A 15122-nucleotide genomic window follows, 5' to 3' on the forward strand; every position below is an offset into this window, starting at 1 on the left:
TCTTGGCTTTACCTCAAATGGGCTGAAGCAGAAACAAGCATGTGGTTCACGTAACTGAAAAGTCAAGGAAAGGACCTGCTGAGGTGCAGCAGGGTCCACGTGACCCGGCCGTGGTTGCTCCGGCTTTCCTCTGGGCTGGCTTCATTCTCGTGCAGCCCTGTTCTCGGGTAGTGAGATGTGGAAGACTGGCCCCTTCCCTCTCTCACCTAACCCAGCTCTGGAGAGGTCTGTGGGCAGATGGGAGAGTCATTTGACTTCAGCCTCCCCTCCGGTCTGAACTCTGACCCTACAGCAAAAGTCCCAGGACTGAGCCTCTTTGGCTAGAACTGGGTCACAGGCTGACCCCTAAACCAACTGCTGTGACTATGTAGCCAGCCTGGTTTATGCCACTCCACTCACCTCAAACCAGACCCATGACTTCAATGAGATGTTGACAGGGGAACCCTGGTTTGCAGATGAAACTGAGTGATCACAGACTCAGAGAGGTTAATTAATTTGTCCAAATCCACACAGCTGGTAAAGAATGCAAGCTCCAGGTCTGATTCCAGAACTTCTGGGCTTAACCCTGGAGCCACTGTAGGTCAGTGGGAGTCCAAAGGGTTTTAAGTATGGTGGTGAAACGGTCGGGGATGCAGCTGGAGGGGTAAATTGGCGCTGGATTTTGGTTGGCGGTGAATGGCATGCAAAGGAGGTGGACGATATTCAGGATTTGGTAGGACAGTGGAAGCAGCTACGCCCCAGCTATCGCACGGTCCCCAGCATTTGTAGGAAAAAGCCCCCAGGGCTTTGGGTAGCCTCGCAGGCCCGCACTGCCGCCAGGACGCAGTGCACCTGAGGGCGGAGCACCCACGCCCCGGGCCACCTGACTCACTGTTTGTCAACTCTGCTCTCTGCAGCCACGCCCTTTCCTCCTTGCCTCCCTCCCCTTTTGGCTCAGGGGCGGCATAACCCCGCCTCTCTCCTGCTGTGACTGGCTGTCCTTGCCGTCACTCCGCTGCGTGGGCGGGGCTCTGAGGGGGCACAGGTAGAGGCCCTTCGCGAAGGGATTAGCATAGTCCCACCCCCCGGCGCGAGCCTCGGGCCGGGCGCTGATTGGGCAGGCAGCGGCCGACGCGGCGGCGCCGGGCGCAGCGAGTGGCGGGCGCGGGCTGTCAGTCGGCGAGGCGGCGGGCCGCACTTCCGCCTCGGTGTCAGTGGGTCGCGGGCCTACGGGGCGGGGGCGGGGCGGCAGTGAGCTCGGCCGGCAACCGAGGGACCCGCGTCCAGGTGAGTGGCCCCCGCCGCCGCCACGCGAAGGCCCGGGACCCCGGCGAGCTGCGGGGCCTGGGCCGCGGGCTGGGGCTGGAGCCGGGGCGGGGAGGGGAGGGCGGGCCGGGCAGGACCCGGGTCCGCAGGCCGCCTCCAGCCCCGGCCCCGGCCCCGGCCTCGACCCCCACTGGGAGGCGCGCCCGGCCTAGGCCGCAGCCTGGCGCCCCGGGGAAACTTTGGGAGGAAAGTTCCGGCCGGGCGTGGGGCCTGGGCCTGGGTCCCGCGGCCCCCGCACCCTTCCCCCTGCGGTCGCCCGGCAACTGCGATCCCGGGACCCCCGGCCCGGCCCCCCCGAGATCCCCAGCCCCCCTGCTGCCCCGCTGAGCAGGAAGTGGGGACGGGCGCACCTGCTCGCGGCCTCGCCCTCTCTCACCACCTCACCGGGAACAGGGAAGGATTTCGTGCGCATTTAGGGCGATCCTGTAGGTGAGGAGGGCGAGTTCCGCCGGGAAGAAGGGCAGGGAGACGCAGTCCCACTCCGACCCTGGCCTTCTTGTCCCGCAGGCCTGTGTGCACGTCGTCCCGGGGAGGGTGCCCGCGAGCCCTTGTCCGTTCCCCTGGGCTCTGTTTTTGTTTTTAATTTATAAATCTTAGCAGACTACACACGGTTGAGAACTTGCTACCTAAAACCTATCTTTGGTAATGTAATTTTAAGAGGTTCCTTCTTTCGCCAGTTATATTTTGGTACTCAGAAGAATACGTCTTTAGACTTTCCAAGTTTATAAGCCCAGACCAAGACTGTTAGGTCGTCACAGCACCTCAGCCTCCCCGCTTCATGGGAGGACCGGCGACGAGGCAGTGGGTGTCGGGGTGTTGCAGGCTCTCCTGGGGTGAGGGTCACCTCCCAGGGGCGTTTCTATCTGAACCGTCCTCTAGGACAGGCCCTGGCCTAGCCTGGCTCCGGCAGCTTTGGGATGACTGCCCGGAACACCTGGAGAAGGGGTCCCATTCGGTTTGGTTGGATAGACGTTTCTCGAATGCCTGCTGTGGGCCTGGCTGGGTGCTGTGCGGCCTTCCCACCAGCTGGATGTGTGGTGAGGACAGCGGAGAGTTGAGGAGCCCGGAACTGGTGCAGGGGCCACATGCTGGGAAGCCACGGCCGTCCCTGCTGCCCTTCCTAACTCGTGCCCATGGCCTCTTTTCTGGCTGTCAGCCTCAACTCCTTCATCCGGACATGTAGCACTTTGCTGATAAGAGAAGCAAACGAGATCATTTTCTTGTTTTATGTTTTGAGATGGAGTCTCGCTTTGTTGCCCAGGCTGGAGTGCAGTGGTGCGATCTTGACTCACTGCCACCTCCGTCTCCCGGCTTCAAGCCATTCTCCTGCCTTAGCCTCCCATCTAGCTGGGACCACAGGCGCCGGCCACCACGCCCGCCTAATTTTTTTATTTTTAGTAGAGATGGGGTTTTACCATGTTGGCCAGGCTGGTCTCGAACTCCTAACCTCAAGGGATCCGCCTGCCTCAGCCTCCCAAAGTGCTAGGATTCCAGGTGCGAGCCACCGCGCCCTGCCATGAAATCATTTTCTACCACAGTCTCTGACACCTAGTGCGCACCCCGGAATGCCAGTTACCTTCCCCTTGTTGAGGACAGGAACTTTGTCGGTGGCACTTCCTCCCTGCCCAGCCCAGTGCCTGCCACAGTGTCGTCTTTTAGAATGTGGCAATGAGTGAGTGAGTGACTGAGTCTCCCTCATAGAATTTACCCTGTTTTCTTCATGTGTCCATCTATTAATGACAGCTCTTACCCCAGCAGACGATAATATTTAATAATGATTGTTCCAGGACTGTTACGAGCATGTCGTATTCACTTTCTTTGTGTGATCTTCACAACAGTCCACTGGGCAGGTACTGACATTATCCTTAGTTCATTCATGAGGAAGCTAAGGAACAGAGAGGTTAAGTAACTTACCTAAACCACACAGCAGTAAATTATGAAATATGGATTTGAACCCAGGCTCCAGGGTTCACACTCTTAAACACTACCCTGTACTGCCTTTTAATATCAAGATTTTCATTTAACATTTTCGTTTAGAATATTCTAATCATGCTGCATTACTCTGTGTCAGAATTTCGGGATTTTGCTACATATAGAACTAATAGACTTTCTTTTTTGTGAGCCTGAGTGTTTACAAAGCCATTTCATTTTTTCTGAAATAAAGTAATTTACCGTTTGACCATTCAGGATTTTGCCAGAATACCTTCCCTGCCACCCAGCTCCTTTGTTACTGGCAGATTCAGTGGTGGTCTCTGTGTGAAGAGGGAGGACTGAGGGGCATGGGTGCTGACAGGCGTACAGTCCAGACTCTGAGGTCTCCGTTCTGAGTTCAGTTCCAGGGGACTTCACACACTGCCTTAGAGTACACACGTAGGACATTTTTCTTCCACGCCTCGAGTGCGTTGAGAGGGTCAGACTCTGCTGTGTTCCACATGTTAATGAGAGGTGCTGTTTGAATGTGAAAAAAATGCCACTTGACTTTCATCCCAGTGTCTCTCCTCTGTGCCGTCCAGGAGATGCCAGCAGATGGGTCTTGGAATTTTTTTTTTTTTGAGATGGAGTCTCGCTCTGTCGCCCAGGCTGGAGTGCAGTGGCGCGAACTCGGCTCACTGCAAACGCGAACTCAGCTCACTGCAAGCTCTGCCTCCCGGGTTCACACCATTCTCCTGCCTCAGCCTCCCAAGTAGCTGGGACTACAGGCGCCCGCCACCACACCTGGCTAATTTTGGGTCTTGGATTTGTCATTAAAGCTTGCTCGACTTTTAAAGTTTTAGTACATTCAGCCAATTACAAAAGTGACATTTTGTATAAGGGAATTGTTGACACATTTTAGGTTCTTATGCTGTCTTCAAGCAGGGAAGCTGCCATCTCCTCAAGGTGATTTCTTTAATGTCCCCATGCAAGCCATGTCTTGTCTGGCCGTGCAGGCACAGCTGGCGCCGTGCCTTCCTGAGTCACAGCATCTTTGCGAAGGTGGTGCGCCAGACCAGGGCTCTTGGGTCCTGGGTGGGTTCCCACTGGCTCCTGCCTTCAGTGTCTTTGCCTGTAAGACGGATTACTATGTGGAATCTGTGAAAATATAACATCAAGTGTCTGATACGTTGTGGGTGCCTGGGCCGCCCTTGGCTCCAACACCTGCTGAAGCTGGAGCCTCTCAGCAGTGCAGCAGTCACACCCTCAGGTGTCCCGGGATCTTTGGGTGTGGGCTGATTTTCTCCTAGTCATTGTCATACTTCCTGTTTGGGTGTTGACATTTCGTTTAGTGTTTAGCACAGATTGTCAGGTACGAGGTTTAATTCCAATATGTAGTACATTTTCAGGTTGATTTATAACCTTATCTACACTGAAAGGAAGTCAGTATTTGAACATGACTGATTATTAAAAAGGACCGAAGTCCTGAGTTAATATGGTGGGTTCTGGTTTGATAGTTTAAATGCACTTTCCACATATGCTAGTTGATTTGTAAATCTGCTGTCATTTTTGCTTTTTCAGAGTGTTCTTGCTAGTGAGTTTCAGGCATGGTGTCCCGGCCTCTCAGGCTGCTGGTTTGGGCTAGGGTCCCACTGTGGAAGCGTGGTGGTGTCCCGGCCCACCTCTGCAGCTCTTGATAATAAAAGCATCTGTTAAATAGCTCACAGCACTGTTTGCGTGAACTTTTTGGCACTTCTTTCCTTTTCCTTCCAGATTCAGAAAAGAACTTGGGATCATTCAGCAGAATGTCACAGCATCCACATTCTTTCCGCTGGAGCTTCTGCTGATGCAAATCCTGTGACCTCTGAGTTGAGCTGAGTGGTGGAAGTGAGCTTTTATAAGGGACTGGATCTGAGACTCGTGCCTGATGTTTGTGGCTGTTTCTCTTTGCTTGCCTTCTGTTTTCAGTGGAACACTCGCTTGATGTATTTTGAGAAACAAACTCTGGGATCAGTCCTGTTGAGCTAGTGGCTGGCTCCATAGTTTGGGGCCTGAAGAGGTTCCCGCACCCTCAGGGCTTGTGGCGGTCATCAGGCCTCTCTCCTGGGTGTAAGGTGTGTACTTCTCACCTGCGCACTGAGGGCCTGGGGGCTGTGGCCCCGACGCTGAGGCAAGTCAGGGGTGGGAAGGGTCTGAGGGGCTCTTGGCTGAGCAGACACTGAGCACATTTCTTTATCAAAGGCGCTGGGACTGCAACCTTCAGGGGTGCCCAGAGAGCGCCTGTTGTGGGCTCATACGGGGAGTTCTTGGAGGAGCACCAGGCAGGGAGGACTGTAGTGTGTAGGGAGTTGTGTGGAGTTTTGGTTCCAGAAAAGACGGAGGCAGCTGTAGAGGAAGGAGGACTATGGTGTGGAAGTGAGTGCCTGTGCTTTGTACTGAATAAACCTAAGGCTGATCCAAGGCTGATCGTGAGAAAGAGCCCCCTGTAACCTGGGACCTTGTGCCACTGTGCTCGGCCAGAGAGCAACTTCCATTATTGCCTTAAAACTAGGGGGACTGTGATTCAGTGACATTTCGGTGACTCCGATAATGACGGCAGGTGTCAGGTGCGCACAGGGCGTGGGGCTACCCTCTTACTGTGAAAGAGGACACGGGCTGCGTCTGTGGTGGCGAGCTCCTGCGAGTGCCCTGGCTCTGGCTTGGCCTCTCTTGATGATGTAGCAGAGCTGGGAGTCTCGCTGTAATCATCACCCGTCTTCCAAGTAAGTCTCACCTGTGGGAAATGCTGGAACACCTGAGCGGAAGCAGAGCCAGGGCAGTGCCTGAGCTGGGGCCAGGGGAGGGGTCCCAGTGCAGAGGTGCCCGAGGAGCCCTAGCGCCTGCCCCGCAGCCCCTGCCCCGCAGCGCCTGCCCCGCAGCGCCTGCCCGGCAGCTCCGCCTCTTCAGTGGCTCGGCTGTCAGGGTAGAAGGCTCCTGGGTTAACATCATGGAGTTTTCACCCCTGCTTCTCATCAGAAAAGCTGGGGGAACTTTTTAAAAAGTGTGGGTTCAAGGCCCAGCCCCAGCTTCACTGAGCCTGGGTTTCCCGGGAGGGGCCCAGGAAGAGATGTGTTTAACAAGCTCGGGAGGGTCTGGGGTGGGTCCTCAGCGGGGAGTCCAAGTGCTGGAGGCCCACGGTGGGGTCAGGACCCTTTTTTAGATCAAGGACCCCTTTGAGAACTTCATGAATATGAATAATGTGGGTCATTATTCTGGGGAAAAAAATGAACGAAAAATTTTTTTTCCTGTTTTTTTAAATTTTTTAATTAAAAAAAAATTTTTTTTGCAGAGGGTAGGGGGGTTAGAGATTGGTGGTTTTCCCTGACCTTGGTTTGAAGCCCTGCCTGTAGGTGCTCAGGAAGCACAGTTGGCAGCCACGTGGGCAGGTCTGATGTTAGGGTGACAGGTTTCTCAGCACAGTGGACCCCATTAGGGCTGCACAGGATGAAGATGGGCACGATGGTGAGGAGGGCCTGGAGCTGAGGCCACAGAGAAGGAGGCGGCCAGAGGGCAAGGACGCACTCCAGCAAGCCAGCCACTCCTTGGCTGGGCAGGTGCCCTGGGGAAGGCCGGGAGCCCTGCAGGACAACAGCCTCTCACCTGGGTCACTCACTTCCCTTTGCTGTCTTAATTTTCCTCCCACTCCCTCACCGCGTCCTCCGCCTGCTGTGGCCCTTGCTGGGTTGTGAGATGTGGGTACAAGGTGTCTCCTTCTCCTCTAGCTGCAGCCGCAGGCTGGGCTCCTCTCGGGGCCGTTGGTTTTGATCATCAGAGATACACAGCGGCGGCGGGTCGGGGGCTGGCTGGACTGCTGCTGCCCTTGGAGTGCTCTCCCTGCCCTCCGGCATGGCTTTCTGAGAGCAGGGCGCCCGTGAGCTGTGGGGCATGCGCCCTGTCCATTGCCTTCCCACCCAGTCTCGTGGGCCGCATTGGAACAGCTTTTTATTGTGTTGCATAAGGAGAAGGTTGATTAAAACACATGTTTTTGTACGGAAGCGCTTGCATTCATCTTGTGTGTTTGGAAATACATCGTACTGCATTACAAGGTAATGTTCCTCGAGGTGCGTGGTGTATTTTTGGCAATTAATATTCCACAGGAAGCAGTTAAGTCAGCGACAAGACTTGAGGGAGTTGACTGTGGTGAGTGGGGCGCTAGGCTCCGCTTCCGGGACGTCGGGCCACACTGGCCGCGAGGCCCAGTGGGAAGGTTTGCCACTCCCCACAGCTGCTTCTTGGGACCAAGCCGGGCTCACCTTTGCCTGCCTCTCAAGGTCACCCTCTTGGCATGGAGAATGGTAAACAGTGGGGGTGCTGCTGTCTGCACAGTGGGAGAGGTTCACCTGCCTTTCTCAGTGTAGAAACTTCCTGCGTGAATTCTGGACTGATGCAGAGTCCTCATGTGCACCTGGCAAGTTTGCCTGGCTGGCACGCGTAGCACAGGGCCTTCCCGAGTCAGGGTTGAGCCATTCGTGTGTCCACGCTGGTGTCTTAGGATAAAGGGCTGAAATCTGTTCTTTTTTTTTTTTTTTGAGACGGTGTCTTGCCTCTGTCGCCCAGGCTGAAGTGCAGTGGCGCGATCTCGGCTCACTGCAACCTCCGCCTCATGGGTTCAAGTGATTCTTGTGCCTCAGCCTTCTGAGTAGCTGGGACTACAGGCATGTGCCACCTGTAATTTTTTTGTATTTTTAGTAGAGATGGGGTTTTGCCATGTTGCCCAGCTGGTCTTGAGCTCCTGACCTCAAGTGATCTGCCTGCCGTGGCCTCCCAAAGTGCTGGGATGACAGGCGTGAGCCACCGCGCCCGGCCTGAAACCTGTTCTTCAGCTAAGGCGTGTTACATTCTGTGTGGTGTTAGGGAGCTGGTTTGTGATGAGCCACGTAGAGCCCCACGCTAAGAAGAACCATACAGGCCTGAAGAAGGCGGAGAGGTTGTTCAGGTTAAAAAGCGCAGACCTAGAGCCAGCTGGTTCTGTGCTCAGAAGGGCTGTCTCCTGGAGCTTCTGATGCAGTTGGACTTAACCTTATTTGGCTAAAGGATCAAGAACCAGTGTTCAATAAAGGTCACTCTTGATTCCATCCCATTGCCACCAAAACACAGTGCATTTAAGGGCAAAGGCCTGAGCGGCCAGTCGTACGTGCCTCACTCGTGACGGGCTGCAGATGGTGACGAGGACAGACAGCCGTGCACATACCCCTTGTTAAAAAAGGTCATTGTTGTGAATGGCATATGACTTGTTTATTTGGTTCTAAATTTATACAAAATCTGTAAAAATAACCGTTAAGCTTTTACAATGACAGGAATATTAAGGCTTGATTTTTTTCCTCGACAATTGGCAGAAGGCGTGTTTCAGTGAGCACAGACGGAGCAATCCAGGGAGGTCTGGGAAGGAGGAATGGGGCCTGGCCTGGCGGTGTCCTTGACGGCCCTCCATCGTTGTGGGGTTGGTGTTTGAGAGGTAGCTGTGGCGCGGGGCCGGCTGCCATTCCCGCGTCTCCTCGCAGAGGCCTGGACCTGCGCCTGGGGCTGGCAAAGCCCTCTGCTCTCGCTGCTGCCGCCGCCTCCATCTTCCTCCACCCTCTGGTGGGGCTGGTCACAGGCAGGGCATGGTCCCATGATGGCTCAGCCCCATGGGGCCCCGGGACGCTGTGTCCAGGATGGGCGCCACTGCCGTGGGTGGCTGTTGAAGTGAAGTCAATTCAGCTGATTAGCATCCAGCATTCAGTTCTCCCTCACGTTTCAAGTGCTTGTAGCCACCTGTGGCCCATAGGGACGACACTGGACAGATGACATTTCCAGTGCCATGGGAGAGTCTAAGCTCAGCTCTGAAGCTGTGAAATGTTGAGTCTTTGTTTTAGTTAAGTTTTGTTTTTTTGCAAAAGAAACGAGATTGTGGCCTGGTGGCCAGCTGGGTGTCAGTGGGGTGAGGGCTTCTAGGCGTCCGGGTGATGCATGGGCTGAGTTTGCAAAGTGGATGTGTCAAGGCTGAAATGCTAGCTGAGAAGCATTGCCCACGCTAGGCTTGGACACGCAGGGAGGGATGAGGTGTCAGAGAGGCCCTGACTGGTCACTCCTGCCCCAGGGCTTAGAAGGTGCTGGGTGAAGAGAGCTGCGCCCCTGTCCCTCAGCCCCTGCCCCTCCCCCTCAGTGCCACACGGAGGTGCAGGCATCTCACACCAGGTTCTCCCTGGGTCCGTTCATGTCACAGCAGGCTTTGTCTTGCTGTCCATGATTTCATGTTCCCATCCTCCAGCCTTGATCCGGGAGACCTTTCTGTTCTTTAATTTCCACAGAGAGCTAATTCTGTCCTTAAACTTTGTGACTCTGATGCTCGTAGGTGACACTTGTTTCCCTTCCTGGTGCTCTGGCAACCTCGCAGTGTCATGGTGGCATCTTTCCAAGCATTTGAGTGGCCAGGTTAGGCCCTGCCAGGTCGCCGACTGCTCTGGGGAAGGAGAAGTCCTGCAGGGATGTGACAGTGGCTTTGGTTTGCTCCTTGGCCGGCCCCAGCCTGACCTAGTTCTGCTCTGCACTGTGGTTGGGCTCACGTGTTAGCCTTGACCTTGAGCGGATGGCAGGTGCTCTTCAGTGCACGATGCTGCACCGGGAACTTCGCTTGGCCCTGGAAGCTGGTTTGATGTGCACGTCGGCTTGAGTGAGTGCAGGGATGGCTGAGCTTGCCTCTTGGCTTAGGCACTGAAGATCTTCCTGTGGGTCCTCTGGGGTCGCTTGCTCTGTGGTTGTGCTGGATGTGGCCTCTTGTGGAGCAGAACCAGGCCTGTGGAACCCATTCCCTGTGACTGCCCTGGCACCTTGGCTTATGATTGCTGCCCCCACGCCGCAGCTGCCTCCCTGCGAAGCTCAGCGGGACCGCGGGGACTGAGGGACTGTAGCTCCCCGGCCATGCCTGACCGCAGTGTGATCCCTACGGGAATGAGTTTGAAAGTCTCTGCCAGTGGCTTTGACCTGTCAGGAGGAGGAGCATTCTTTGACCTGTCAGGAGGAGGCAGGAGGAGGCAGGAGGAGGAGCATTCTTTCAAATGGAAGTAGTGTTGGATGGGGTCCTTAGGGTCCTTTCTTTCTTTCTTTTTTTTTTTTTTTGAGCTGGAGTCTCGCTCTGTCGCCCAGGCTGGAGTGCAGTGGTGCAATCTCAGCTCACTGCAATCTCCTCCTCAGGTTCAAGCTATTCTCCTGCCTCAGCCTCCCTAGTAGCTGGGACTACAGGCACCTGCCACCATGTCCGGCTAATTTTTGTATTTTTAGTAGAGATGGAGTTTCACCATATTGGCCAGGCTGGTCTCGAACTCCTGACCTTGTGATCCGCCCACCTCGGCCTCCCAAAGTGCTGGGATTACAGGTGTGAGCCACTACGCCCGGCCCCTTAGGGTCCTTTCTAAGACAGAACCCCATCGTTGTTAATAGTGGGAACGTTTTCCCTTTCAGCAAAATACCACATAAGGCTCTGTGCACAGTTGTTTATTTGTTAGTGCTGCTTGCTGATGTATTTTTAAATTATGAAATAAAACTTATATTTTCTCTCTTTTCTTTTTTTTTCTTTTTTCTTTTCTTTTCTTTTTTTTTTTTTTTTTGTGACAGGGTCTCGCTCTGTTGCCCAGGCTGGAGTGCAATGGCTAAATCTTGGCTCATTGCAACCTCTGCCTCCCAGGTTCAAGCGATTCTCCCACCTCAGCCTCCTGGGTAGCTGAGATTAAAAGTGCACGCCACCATGCCTGGCTAATTTTTGTATATTTTGGTAGAGATGGGGTTTCACCATGTTGGCCAGGCTGGTCTCGAACTCCTGACCTCAGGTGATCCGTCCACCTCGGCCTCCCAAAGTGCTGGGACTGTAGGCATGAGCCATCGTGTCTGGGCAGAACTGTATGAACTTAGAATTGATGTTTAACCTCAGAAGTGATTTTAGAATCTTTTTGTGATCAGTGCACTCTCTGTGTCCAGCATGTCCGGGGTGCCCTGCCTGTTTCTGATGGACAGAGTAACAACATGTAATTGAACTTCCAGCAGGTCGCCCGTGGTGGTCAGCACCGGATCCCCAGTCTCGTTCACCAACTTCCTGAACTGTCAGATCTGCTTTATTTATTTATTTATTTATTTATTTATTTTTTAAGAGACAGGGTCTTGTTCTGTTGCCCTCTCTGGAGTGCAGTGGAGCAATCATAGCTCACTGCAGCCTCCAACACCTGGGGTCAAGCAGTCCTTCTGCCTTAGTCTCCTAAGTAGCTGGGACTTATAGGCACGTGCCACTGTGCCCAGCTAATTTATTTTATTTTGTTTTTTTGTACAGACAGTATCTCACTGTGTTGCTCAGGCTGGTCTTAAACTCCTGGGCTCAAGCCATCTGCCACCTTGGCTTCCCAAGGTATTGGGGTTATAGATGTGAGCCACCGTGCAGGGCCCACATCTGAGAAAAACATAAAGATGGGTTTGTACGACTTGAGTCCAAGTCTTCATACCAGTGGTAGGACATTTTGAGATCCTGGTGGGACGGGGACAGCACCTTTAAGAAAGTGTGCTGGGGTCCTTTTCAAGGGACTGGTGAGTTCCCTGGGCTAGGGGAACTGAGACTCACTGGGGCCTGCAGGGATGGCGTCCTTGGGGCCAAGGAAGTGCCCCCCAACCCCCCAAAAAAAAAATCTCACTGGAGAAGGACAAAGGGCAAGAGGCCAGCAGAGATGCCCAGCACAGACTCAGGCCCCAGGGTTTTTCTCTAGAAGTAGAAAAGGGAGAAGTTGAACAGAAAGAGCCCCTTAAAACAGACAGAAAACCCCAGCAAAGTTTGTTCCTGAAATACTCTCTCTGGGGATTGTTTTCTGAGTGCAAAGTGAGATCTGCGCGTGGAAGAACATATTCAGGAAATAAACTCTGCCTTCCTAATGCTTTTTCTTAAACATTTAACTTTCTGTATATTCCTCAACTTTGATACTCAATTATGAAGCCTAACTTTTGCTTTTTAAAATTATTTTTGCTTTTTAAATTTTTATTTATTTGTTAATAAAATAAACAGCCTCTGTCGCCCAGGCTGGAGTGCAGTGGCGCGATCTCGGCTTACTGCAACCTCCGCCTCCCAGGTTCAAGCAATTCTCCTGCCTCAGCCTCCCGAGTAGCTGGGATTACAGGCATGGGCCACCACGCCTGGCTAATTTTGTATTTTTAGTAGAGAAGGGGTATTCTCCATGTTGGTCAGGCTGGTCTGAACTCCCGACCTCAGGTGATCCACCCGCCTCAGCCTCCCAAAGTGCTGGGATTACAGGCCTGAGCCACCACACCTGGCCCCACCCAGGCCTCTGAGAAGTCCAGGGGTGGGCAGATGGGAGGGAGGAAGGACTGAGGACCTGGCTGGGGCAGGCGCTCCTCGACCCCATGGGGCCATCTGTGCTTCCCAGCACACCCTGGTCCTCCTGTCTTTTCTCCCTGCCCCCAAGGCTCACTCTGAGCTCAGCTCCAGGGTTGCCCCCTTAGGAACTTGCCCAAGAAGGGCCCTCCTGGGAGCACCTTCGTGACCGGCTTCATGAGGGCGGGACCACCACAGTTCCACCTCAAGGCCTGGCACCAGGTAGGCTCTCTGTGAGTGTTTGTTGAATGAATGAGTAGGATCATAGTTGTCTTGCATAGTCATCTGTATAGTTGGGTAGTAGTATGGGCTCTGGATAAGGCCTCTTCATTTTTCTGGGCCTTGGTAAGTGTAGAAGGAGACACAGGGTGTGGTGCCTGTTATGGCAACTCCTTCAGGAGCGACCGGGAGGCTGTGTTGGAATTCACTGTCGCACATGCAGATGTGGGGGTCTGAGGGCACTGTGACCTCTGGGTGTCCCTTTGGTTGTTGACCGGAAAGCCCTCCCCAGGTGGGTCTTCAGTCTTGGTTGGACCACACGGCACAAACACACAGTAGCAGGCGACATCGGTGTCTCAGTTGTCCAGCTAAGCTTGTGTCTGGCATCTTAATCCTCATTTTAAAGATTTCCCATAAGCTGTGATTGATTTACCTTTGACATTAGACTTTTGTTATAGGCAGGGGAGCATTTTAAAAAAGGCTAGCGGGCCAGGTGCAGTGGCTCACATCTGGAGTCCCAGCACCTTGGGAGGCTGATTCGGGAGGATCACTTGAGTCCAGGAGTTCAGCACTAGTCTGGGCAAAATAGAGAGACCCTGTCCCTACAAGCAGTTTTTTAAACAATTAGCCGGGTATGATGGTGTACGCCTGTGGTCCCAGCTACTCAGGAGGCGGGGGTGGAAGGATGGCTTGGGTGCTGGAGGTCAAGGCTGCAGTGAGCGGCGATTGTGCCGCTGATGTCAGCCTAGATGACAGAGCAAGACCCTGTCTCCAAAAATAAATAAATAAATAAATAAATAAACAAGCAAAAGGGAGAATAAAATGGTTTCTAATTCTAACTTGCCTTCTATTCTGGGAGGCTTTTCACATAGTGCAGAGCAATAGATTTTTTTTTTTTTTTTTTTTTTTTGAGACGGAGTCTCACTCTGTTGCCCAGGCTGGAGTGCAGTGGTGCGATCTCGGCTCACCGCAAGCTCTGCCTCCTGGGTTCACGCCATTCTCCTGCCTCAGCCTCCTGAGTAGCTGGGACTACAGGCGCCTGCCACTGCGCCGGCCACCACGCCCGGCTAATTTTTTGTTTTTTAGTAGAGACAGGGTTTCACTGTGTTAGCCAGGATGGTCTCGATTTCCTGACCTCTTGATCCACCCGCCTTGGCCTCGCAAAGTGCTGGGATTACAGACAGGCGTGAGCCACCACGCCCGGACAATTTTTTTTTTTTAGGGTTCTCTCAAAAAGATATTCATACTATCGTGACTTTTTTTTTTTTTTTTTTAAGACAGATTTTTGCTCTTGTTGCCCAGGCTGGAGTGCAGTAGTGCAATCTCGGCTCACTGCAACCTCTGCCTCCTGGGTTCAAGTGATTCTCCTGCCTCGGCCTCCCGAGTAGCTGGTATTACAGGCATGCGCCACCATGTCTGGCTAATTTTGTATTTTTAGTAGAGATGGGGTTTTTCCATGTTGGTCAGGCTGGTCTTGAACTCCTGACCTCAGGTGATCCGCCTGCCTCGGCCTCCCAAAGTGCTGGGATTACAGGCATGAGCCACTGCGCCTGGCCTGTCGTGACATCTTAAAAATGAGCAGGAATCCTCCTACCATCAGATACTCACTGTGTTTAGATTTCCACTGTCTTATAAATGTCTCCATGAAATCCTGTCTGCCTGTGTGTAGGCCTTGTTTGCATCCTGTTTCAAGCGTCATTTTAATTGGTATGCCTTTTTTTTTTTTTTTTTTTTTTTTTTTTTTTCTGGAGACAGGGTCTTGCTCTGTCACTCAGGCTAGAGTGCAGTGATGCAACCATGGCTCACTGCAACCTTGATGTCCCAGGCTCGAGTGATCCTTCCACTTCAGCCTCCTGTGTAGCTGGGACCATAGGTGGGCGCACCACCACACCCGACTAATTTTTGTGTATTTTGTAGAGATGAGGTTTTGCAATGTTGCCCAGGCTGATATCCAACCCCTGGGCTCAAGCGATCCACCTGCCTCAGCCTCCCAAAGTGCTGAGTTTACAAGCGGGAACCACTGCACCTGGCCAGTATGTCTTTTTTTTAAAGACAGCTTTTTTGAGGTATAATTGGCATATAATCAATTGCACACATGTAACATGTACGATAGGTTTTGACACGCATGTGCACCCGTGAAAACATCACCATAATCAAGATGGTGAGAAGCCTTCCCTCTCCTTCTCTCTTTCTGTCTTTGTAATTGATTTGTTGGAGAGACTGGGTTGGTCGTGCATGGGTTTTGCTAACTGCACCCCCACGTTCGCAGGTAGTCGAACATGGTGTGCCCACGCCTAAGAAG

General features: G+C 53.2%; 1 protein-coding gene across 4 annotated transcripts in view, besides 4 other annotated features; it reads left to right on the top strand.

The window, feature by feature from the left end:
- Positions 918-1317: a silencer, noted in NCBI's record as "silent region_13105". NCBI's record gives its function as "represses an Ori minimal core promoter by ATAC-STARR-seq in GM12878 lymphoblastoid cells {active_cell/tissue: GM12878}" and the evidence as "EXISTENCE:reporter gene assay evidence [ECO:0000049][PMID:35858748]".
- OSBPL2 (oxysterol binding protein like 2) overlaps positions 1190-15122 on the top strand; it is a 57663-nt gene continuing 43730 nt past the window's right edge. For all 4 annotated transcript variants that reach the window (NM_001363878.2, NM_144498.4, NM_014835.5 and 1 more), the window contains exon 1: positions 1190-1266. The gene's annotated coding sequence lies outside the window, so the exon portion shown is untranslated. The remainder of the gene's footprint in view (positions 1267-15122) is intronic.
- Positions 2015-2939: an enhancer, noted in NCBI's record as "H3K27ac-H3K4me1 hESC enhancer chr20:60814402-60815326 (GRCh37/hg19 assembly coordinates)". NCBI's record gives its function as "activates a minimal SCP1, AML or CMV promoter by ChIP-STARR-seq in naive H9 embryonic stem cells {active_cell/tissue: H9 hESC(naive)}" and the evidence as "EXISTENCE:reporter gene assay evidence [ECO:0000049][PMID:30033119]".
- Positions 6462-7070: an enhancer, noted in NCBI's record as "H3K4me1 hESC enhancer chr20:60818849-60819457 (GRCh37/hg19 assembly coordinates)". NCBI's record gives its function as "activates a minimal SCP1, AML or CMV promoter by ChIP-STARR-seq in naive H9 embryonic stem cells {active_cell/tissue: H9 hESC(naive)}" and the evidence as "EXISTENCE:reporter gene assay evidence [ECO:0000049][PMID:30033119]".
- Positions 7071-7678: an enhancer, noted in NCBI's record as "H3K4me1 hESC enhancer chr20:60819458-60820065 (GRCh37/hg19 assembly coordinates)". NCBI's record gives its function as "activates a minimal SCP1, AML or CMV promoter by ChIP-STARR-seq in primed H9 embryonic stem cells {active_cell/tissue: H9 hESC(primed)}" and the evidence as "EXISTENCE:reporter gene assay evidence [ECO:0000049][PMID:30033119]".

Source organism: Homo sapiens, chromosome 20 (genome assembly GCF_000001405.40).
Source record: "Homo sapiens chromosome 20, GRCh38.p14 Primary Assembly".
NCBI classification, from domain to species: Eukaryota; Metazoa; Chordata; class Mammalia; order Primates; family Hominidae; genus Homo; species Homo sapiens.